The 8,639-nt window shown below is 45.8% G+C and overlaps 1 protein-coding gene across 25 annotated transcripts in view; it reads right to left on the bottom strand.

Moving 5' to 3' along the window:
- NR2C2 (nuclear receptor subfamily 2 group C member 2) overlaps window positions 1-8,639 on the bottom strand; it is a 101,691-nt gene that overhangs the window by 9,146 nt on the left and 83,906 nt on the right. For all 25 annotated transcript variants that reach the window (XM_047448826.1, XM_047448825.1, XM_047448830.1 and 22 more), the window contains 4 exons: window positions 7,628-7,749; window positions 5,319-5,458; window positions 1,991-2,128; window positions 901-1,006 (listed from right to left, as the gene is read on the bottom strand). In XM_047448826.1, coding sequence (XP_047304782.1) covers window positions 901-1,006; window positions 1,991-2,128; window positions 5,319-5,458; window positions 7,628-7,749 — 506 coding nt within the window. The remainder of the gene's footprint in view (window positions 1-900; window positions 1,007-1,990; window positions 2,129-5,318; window positions 5,459-7,627; window positions 7,750-8,639) is intronic.

Below are 8,639 nucleotides of genomic sequence, written 5' to 3'. Positions count from 1 at the left end.
AGTGCAGTGGCGTGATCTCAGCTCACTGCAACCTCTGCCCACCCTACCAGGTTCAAGAGATTCTCCTGCCTCAGCCTCCCCAGTAGCTGGGATTACAGGCGCCTACCACCGTGCCTGGCTAATTTTTTTTTAAATATTTTTAGTAGAGACGGGGTTTCACCATCTTGGCCAGGCTGGTCTTGAACTCGTGACCTCCTGATCCACCCGCCTCAGCCTCCCAAAGTGCTGGGATTACAGGCGTGAGCCACCGTGCCCGGTCCTAATTTTTATACACATATTTTTACTGCACATTAATTACAAATAATACCACTAATTTGCACCCAAACAAACTTTTTTCCATTAGTTTATCTGAGGGTAAAATGACTTTATATAACTCATCCACTCCTTTATAGGGGTCAGATTTGATTTCTGTCAATAAGAATTTTCTGTCAATAAGCACTTTTCTGTCAAGTACTCTAGCACTGCCTCTTCAATGGATGCTGACCAGAGGAGCAGACCTTTCAAACTATTCTGGACAAAGGAATCTCCATGAGAACTCAAGCCTCATGTACAGTGTTAGCCCCAGAACAGGCCACACAGCATCTGTTCCAACTCCTCCAATTAAAGAGTAGCAATCTGAGGCCTCGCTCACAGTCACACAGCAAAACTGGAATCAGCCACAGTCCTGGCCCTCCTGCTGGCACTGTCTACACTCTACACCACCTCTAGCATTCAAGAATTATCTCTAGCTCTTGGGAGCTTGGAAAAAACAAAGAAAACTCAAGAATTAGAGTGTGATCCAATGGAGGCTCTATCAGGCTGCTAAAAATGGAAAGGTTAACATAATTTATATTAGAAACTGCAGACTCAGCCACACTCCTTGCAGCCCCAAGCAAGAGCGCATATGCCTGAATGCCTCACCGGTAGGTGTCTTCTGAGTAGGTTTTCTGAACATAGTCCTGCAACTCCATCTGTGCCTTTTCTTGGAATTTTTCAATCTGGCTTGTGCTGGTCAAACCTGGATGATCTGAAAACAGAAAAGTACCCCCCCCCAGTTCCCTCTGTATTTGAAAAGTCTCACTTGTAGACTTCTTAGTACTTTTAGTCAAACTTCTGCAAACTTCTTAAGTACAACAAATTGAACTCAAAGACTGATCTAGTTTGGGTATTATTAGAACACTGGCTTTTCCTCTGTTTTCTGCCCAGGCCTGAAGTTCCTGGGAGCGGGTCGGGGACCCTGAGTGGATCCCAGTCTGAACAGCCCCACATGATTGGTTCTGGACATCTGGCTTCCTACTACCCTAGAAAACACATAGTTTTAAAAACTATCACATAAAATTACAAATTGTCATTTACTTTCTAAATAATTATATAATTTGTCCCAATTTTATTAGCTATTTTGTTGTTTGTGAGTGAAGGGCTGGGAAGGAAGACAAAAAGGTTAAGCTGTGTCCAACCCCTTACTGTGAGGTGAACAATTAGCCTAAGTGACTTTTCCAGAGGACTTGAGAGAACAGTTAATAAGGGGAGTGAGGCCAGCCCAGGCATCGTGATTGCTGCCTCTTCATCTCCTGCGAACATACCTTTTAGCATGCTCTGCAGTGCTATACACAGTCTGTGGGCAAACAAGTGGAACTTCAATGTGTACTGGATTATATGCGCTAACAAAACTTGGAAACTGGCAAAGGGCCGGAAAAAAAAGAAAGGACATCGGGTGGCAGCACACTTTTGTATGGTGTAGTCTTGTTTGGCCAATGGTTTAATTAGGACACAGATTAAATCTATTCAGTGCGTGACATCATCAGGCACTGCAGCATATTTCTTTGGGGCTGTAAAGGCAAGAATTTAAAAGCGTTTATGTATTTATCTAGCAAAACACCTATCATAAGAACACTAGGTCACATACAATCTGCAGGGCTCTTTCTACACCAATGATGACAACATGTTCACGTTCAGAAACATCAGTAGATACAGGTGGAAAGGGGTCATGCATCCCCACCGCATATCTTACCGGGGCTAAAGAGAACTATAGCTTTAAGGTATGCATACTCATAGCCATCTATATCCAGCTTCGCCATGCTGTTACAGAACTCCTGCAGCTTCCAGATGTGCTCCATGACTTGCTTTATCCGGTCACCAGAAAGTTTATCTAGAAACCAACATCACAGATCCTGAGAAAGGCTGGTAAGAACAATAAAACCAGCTTATTTGAGGGGCCACATATGGAAAGAAATGGGACCATTTCACTTTTTAATGAAAAATCAGTAATCTCAAGGTGAACAAGAGCTTCATTTTCCAGCTGCAGATGAAGTGACAAGAGGTACCCAAATTCTGCTCCAATATGGGTTCTGCCTCAATAACAAATCCCTAGACCAGTGATTCTCCCTGACCCTGCTGCCAGGCAGCTGGCCTGTAGGTGTACATTGTGAATTTCTTTTATTGTGTACCTGAGTAATAATTCCTTTATTCTGAAGACTCACAGCTTATATACTTGGTTAGGTTTTTTAAGTCTCTGCAGGCACCTGAACATTAAATGCTGGTAATTTTTAGTTGTCAAAACAATTTTTTTTGAGTTGGGTGTCTTACTATGTTGCCCAGGCTGAACTTGAATTCATAAGCTCAAGTGATCCTCCCACCTTAGCATCCTGAGGAGCTGGGACTACAAGTGTGCATCACCATGCCTGGCTTCAGAACAATTTTATATGTTATTTCATTTAATCCTCATGACAATATTTTACTGGCAGTATTAGTATTATACTCAGTTAAAAATAAAACTGGCCAGTTGTGGTGGCTCGTGCCTCTCTAGTCCCAATATTTCGGGAGGCCAAGGCAGGAGGCCTGCTTGAGGCCAGGAGTTTGAGACCAGCTTGAGCAACATCATGAGACTCTGTCTCTACAAAAAACAAAAACACACACACACACACACACACACACACACAAACAAAAAACAATAACACAACAAAAAACAAAACTAAAGCTCATTTGTGAACAAATCTTAACTTCAATAAAATGTTGTAAGGGGTTTTTTTTTTTTTGAGTCTCACTCTGTCCCAGGCTGGAGTGCAGTGACACAATCTTGGCTCACTGCAGCCTCCGCCTCCCAGGTTCAAGCGATTTTCCTACCTCAGCCTAGCAAGTAACTGGGATTACAGGCACTCACCACCATGTCAGGCTAATTTTTGTATTTTTAGTAGAGACAGGGTTTCACCATGTTGGCTAGGCTGATCTTGAACTCCTGACCTCAAGTTATCCACCTGCCTCGGCCTCCCAAAGTGCTGGGATTACAGGCGTAAGCCACCACACCCAGCCTGTTATAGGGTCTTTTAAACTTCACCCTTATGTAACTATTCCAAGGAAATAACTAGAAAAACAAATGTATGACTATGTCACTCACATTCCTAGATATCAAACACCTGGAATGCCCAATTAAAAGTGAAATTCCAAGCCTAGGCAGCACAGCGAAACCTCATCTCTATTAAAAAATATAAAAATTATCTGGGTGTGATGGCACATGCCTGTAAGTCCCAGCTACTTGGGAGGCTGAGGCAGGAGGATCACTTGAGCCCAGGGGTTCAAGGCTGTAGTGAGCTATGATTGCTACTGCACTCCAGCCTGGCAACACAGAGAGACTGTATCAAAAAACAAACAAACAAAACAACAACAACAAAAACTTCCACTTCAGCTACAAGTGTAGATTTTCAGTGTTACTTCGAATCCTGGGCATGACAGTGGTCTTCAGAGTGTTGCAGACATGCTACACATGGAGAGACTACAATGGCTGCCTCCTATTCCTGACACTGCTGGTGTTTTGAACACCAAATACTAGATAGTTGCCACAGATCTCACTAGAAAAGTTGTTTGTTCACTCTTAAGGAGCAGCCTGGGTGAGGTACGTATGTCCTGGACTAGGGGGTCAGCATGGTGCAGGTTTGTGCCCTAGTTTTTTTTTTGTTTTTGTTTTGAAATAGTTTCGCTCTGTCACCCAGGCTGCAGTGCAGTGGCACAGTCTCGGCTCACTGCAACCTCTGCCTCCTGGGTTCAAGTGATTCTCATGCCTCAGCCTCCCGAGTAGCTGGAATTACAGGCATGCGCCACCATGCCCGGCTAATTTTTGTTTTTTGGAGACAGAGTCTCGCTCTGTTGCCCAGGCTGCAGTGCAGTGGCGTGATCTCGGCTCACTGCAACCTCCGCCTCCCAGGTTCAAGTGGTTCTCCCGCCTCAGCTTCCCAAGTAGCTGGGATTACAGATGCCCACCATCACGCCTGGCTAATTTTTTGTATTTTTAGTAGAGACGAGGTTTCGCCATGTTGCCCAGGCTGGTTTCGAACGCCCAAGCTCAGGCAGTCCACCCGCCTTGGCCTCCCAAAGTGCTGGGATTATAGGCGTGAGCCACTGCACCCAGCCTCCTGTTTTGTATTTTTAGTAGAGAAGGGGTTTCACCATGTTGGCCAAGCTGGACTGTCCTGACCTCCAGTGATCCCCCGTCTTGGCCTCCCAAAGTGCTGGGATTACAGGAGTGAGCCACTGCACCCAGCCTGTGCCCTAGTTTTTGTACTTACTGTTTCATCTGGGGCAAGCCAGGGACCTTATCAGGGCCTCAGTTCCTCCATAGGGAAAAATGAGGTAATAGTCCCTACTTTATAGGGTTGTGAGGATCTGTGAACTATTATACATGAGAAAAGTAACCTGTCAATGAAGATGAAAATATCAGCTGTGATTATTCTGAAAACATCACTAAATGCCTATCAAGAAGTTGACCTTTTCCATTTTTTTCTTCATATTAATCGTATGAAGAGGGCAGTCTGGCAGAAATTTACATATTCTGACTGATAAGCCTCCTAACATTCATTCATTCATTGAGATGGGATCTTGCTCTATTACCCAGGATGGAGTACCTGGAATGATCACAGCTCACTGCAGCCTCAAACTCTGGGCTCAAGCAATCCTCCTGCCTCAGCCTCCTGAGTATCTGGGACTACAGGCAGATGCCACCAGGCCTGGCTAATTTCTTGTACTTTTTGTAAAGACAAGGTCTCGTTATGTTGCCCAGACTGGTCTCAAACTCCTGGGCTCAAGTGATCCTCCTGCCTGGCCTAACAAAGTGTTAGGATTACAGGCGTGAGCCACCATGCCCAGCCCAAAGGCTCCATACCTTAACAGTCAAACTTCTCTCAGCCTATGGATGCTGTGGGAAACTGAGGCTATCCAATTTGCTATGTTGCCAGCCTGGGTCAACAAAGGTGTCTTTGACATGAGCCTCCAACCAGGGGGCTGGGCTCTGCTCCATGGCCACCAGGCTGAACCAAGACACACCCCAGCCCCAAGTCCCTGTGCCCTACCTTCCTGGATGCTGTTCTGCAGGTGGTTGACAATGGCAGCCAGGATGGTGGAGAGACTCATGACCTGGGCACACTGGGCCAGGCCGAGGGTGAAGAGCTCATTCCAGCAGGCCCGCACAAGGCTGGTGTTGCAGTCCTGCCTAGGAATATAGAAAGGAGTCTGAGTGTGGTGTGTGTTGGCATTTCTCCAAGGTTGTGGGGCATCCAGGCACTAAGTCCCAGCATTTCCCAAACAGGTGAATTCAGCAAGTGTTTATTGAAGTGCTATCCAGGATCATTCTTCAAGAAAAGGATGAAGTCTATGAATAAGTCTATGAATGTTTTAACTAAAATCCTTCTAATGATCAACTATTCTCTTAAAAAACATTCTTTAAATAATAAAAAAATGTTAATAGGTATGGCCAAACCATCATTACCTACAGCCTTCAAAAGCCTCAGCATCCTGGACTGACTGTCCCAAGAGATGGTATCAGTTACTTAGGTCCTGCAGCCAAGGTCATGAGAGGCTACGGGGACCAAAAGACGGAGATGAGTACAGATTCTGAAGGGCAGAAACATGCCCTGCAACCCTGCAGGGCAGGAGGCAGGCTTTGTGCTGGATCCGAGACTGAAGCAGGGAGGATGAGGGTCCAGCTAAGGCCGCTTCCAGCCTTGCCCTGGCTAACTTCTACTCAGTTAGTCAGCAAAGTTGGCACATCACAAAACAATACATCCTTATTCTCAGAAACCCCTAAATTGCATTCCCTCACCTGTCTCAAGATTTCAGGAGGCCGGAGAAACTGGGCTGTCTTGACAAAGCTGTTTCTTCCAGTTGCCTTAAGTGTGGCCCAGCCACAGGAAGGCAGTGAGAACCAGGGCTACTGCACTGGGTCATTCCCAAATGCCCCAGATGCACATCTAGTATTTTACTATGATCACTGCCCTGAACACTAACTTATGAAAAACAGTACATGAAATGTAAATGAAACCACTTTAAATGTGGTAGCACATTTTATCTAGCCCGGACTGAGAAACTCTGTGGAGGAGGTTCCAAATTACCCAACTAGAAAAAGTACACTCAGGGCAGTGGGTAACAATGTTTTAACCTCATTTAAAAAATCTCAGGTACCTATCAGTACTATTAACTGTGGACTGTGGTGTTATTTAAAAAAAAAAAAAAAAAAAAAAAAAGCCTGAGGTTACACCACCTACCAGATAGTAGCAAGGGGTAGGCCATTCTCCCAAAGAGCTAACAATGAAACTCCTAATACTTGTTTAGCAGTCACTACCTGTCTAATTCTCCCTGGAGAATGGGACAATTCTGACTGCCTTTCCTTTAATCATGGAGGGAGGTGACCATTCTAACAACTACTCAGGACACATCCCACACCACCTGACCCACAGAACCACACTGCCTTCTGCTGAGTCCCTTGCATGCCAGGCACTGGGTTAAGAGCTTTATAGATCTGAAACCCACGCGAGGATTCTACAATGAGAAACTGGAGGCTCAGAGAGGTAAAGTGACTTGCACAAGGCCACACAGCTGACAAGCACTATTCTTATGGCCCGACAACCAGGTCTGTTTGCCCCAAAGACAATAGTGTCAACTACTAGACAACCCTGCCCTCCATTCTAGTGTTTTCCACATATTACCTAAGGATGGTTACTCTGCAATATGCAATGACTCTCATTGTATTTCCATTTTTATATGGTTACTTATCTTTCAACCAGACTGCCAGCCACCTGATGGCACGGTGGCAGCTGCACCAGCTGCACAGCACTTGGCACACTGGCAGAGCCGATGCTGGTATTTAGAGGAGAAACATACACAAGTGGTACTCAAGAAAGCAAGAAAAGGGGGGGGGGTTTCCTGTAGAGATGACACCAGGTTCTGTACTACTCAATGTGCCAATTGGCACTGTGGCTTGTGTGAGATTGTAAATCCATGTTTGAGGAAACAGCTGATTCACATTCACCTTATTAAGGCCTAGGCACAGTTCCCGGCCTGGCTTCAGTTTGTTGAGTCACACTGTGCATAGCACAGTGCTGGGGACTACCCTTGCCTTCTACATTCTTCTCCATCCCCAGCTCCTAGCACCAAATCCTTGGTGTATCTAGGAGGCTCCATAAAGTTTAGAGGAACATTGCAGAACTGGCAACTGGTAATCCTGCTACCAGTCCACTAACTATATTTAATAAAAAACTCAGGGTCCTTTGAATGAGGTCATAGAAACAGTCAAACTAGACAGGCCCTCAGAGTTCTTCCAGGTCATTCCTAGGGAGAGGAAGGCTCCTGCCCGAGGATACATGCACAGCAAGAGGCCACTTACCCAAGTGCCTGAAAGGCTGGGATTGACCGAGCCCAGTGCATTGAGAGGAAAAGCAGACGGGATGCAGACTCACAGATGTAGTGCACGTTGAGGTACTCTGGCATTGGACTGGGCATTGTTAGCTGGAAAAGAGGAGGCACATGGCACAGGAGGTGAAGGAAGGACAGGGGATGGCTTTGTCTGTCAACATGTATCCCTGTCATGCTTCAATAGCAGTGGCATCTAGAGTTGCTGTCTGATTCTGAAGTCCCATGCAGTCGGGGGGCTTGCACGGACTCCCCATGTTTTCTTGCTCAGTGAACTAGGGTCTAATGGGCCTTGGAATGTGGTCCATAAGCCTAAGGGGATCTTCCCAGCCCACCCCCACAAAAACATACTCCTCAAGTCTTGCCTCAGCTAAACTGTTATTTGTTCTATGGCAATTCCATTTTGAGCCATAGGTTAAGGTCTAAATTAAATCTGGGGAACAGGGGCCAGGTGCGGGTGGCTCATGCCTGTAATCCCAGCACTTTGGGAGGCTGAGGCAGGCAGATCACCTGATGTCAGGAGTTCGAGACCAGCCTGGGCAACATAATGAAACCCTGTCTCTATTAAAAATACAAAAATTAGCCAGGTGTGGTGGCATGCACCTGTAGTTCCAGCTACTTCGGAGGCTGAGGCAGGAGAATTGCTTGAACCCAGGAGGTGGAGGTTGTGGTGAACCAAGATTGTACCACTGCACTCCAGTATGGGTGACAGTGAGACTCAGTCTCAAAAAAAAAAAATCTGGGTAACAGGGGCCAACTTCATGGACTAGCAGGCATTTTGGGAGATGGTCTTAAGGTAGCAGTAAGTAAGAGCTAAGCAGCTCATGTGACAGGAGCACTTTGGGAGGCTGAGGTGGGAGGATTGCTTGAGGCCAAGTGTTTGAGACCAGCTTGGGCAACATATCAAGGACACCATCTCTACAAAAAATAAAAATAAAAATTAGATGGGCATGGTGGTGCATGCCTATAGTCCTAGCTACTTGGGA

The sequence above is a fragment of the Homo sapiens genome, chromosome 3 (genome assembly GCF_000001405.40).
Source record: "Homo sapiens chromosome 3, GRCh38.p14 Primary Assembly".
Lineage (NCBI taxonomy): Eukaryota > Metazoa > Chordata > Mammalia > Primates > Hominidae > Homo > Homo sapiens.
The sequence above is the reverse complement of the archived record's forward strand: the minus strand, read 5'-3'. Positions and strand labels throughout refer to the sequence as shown.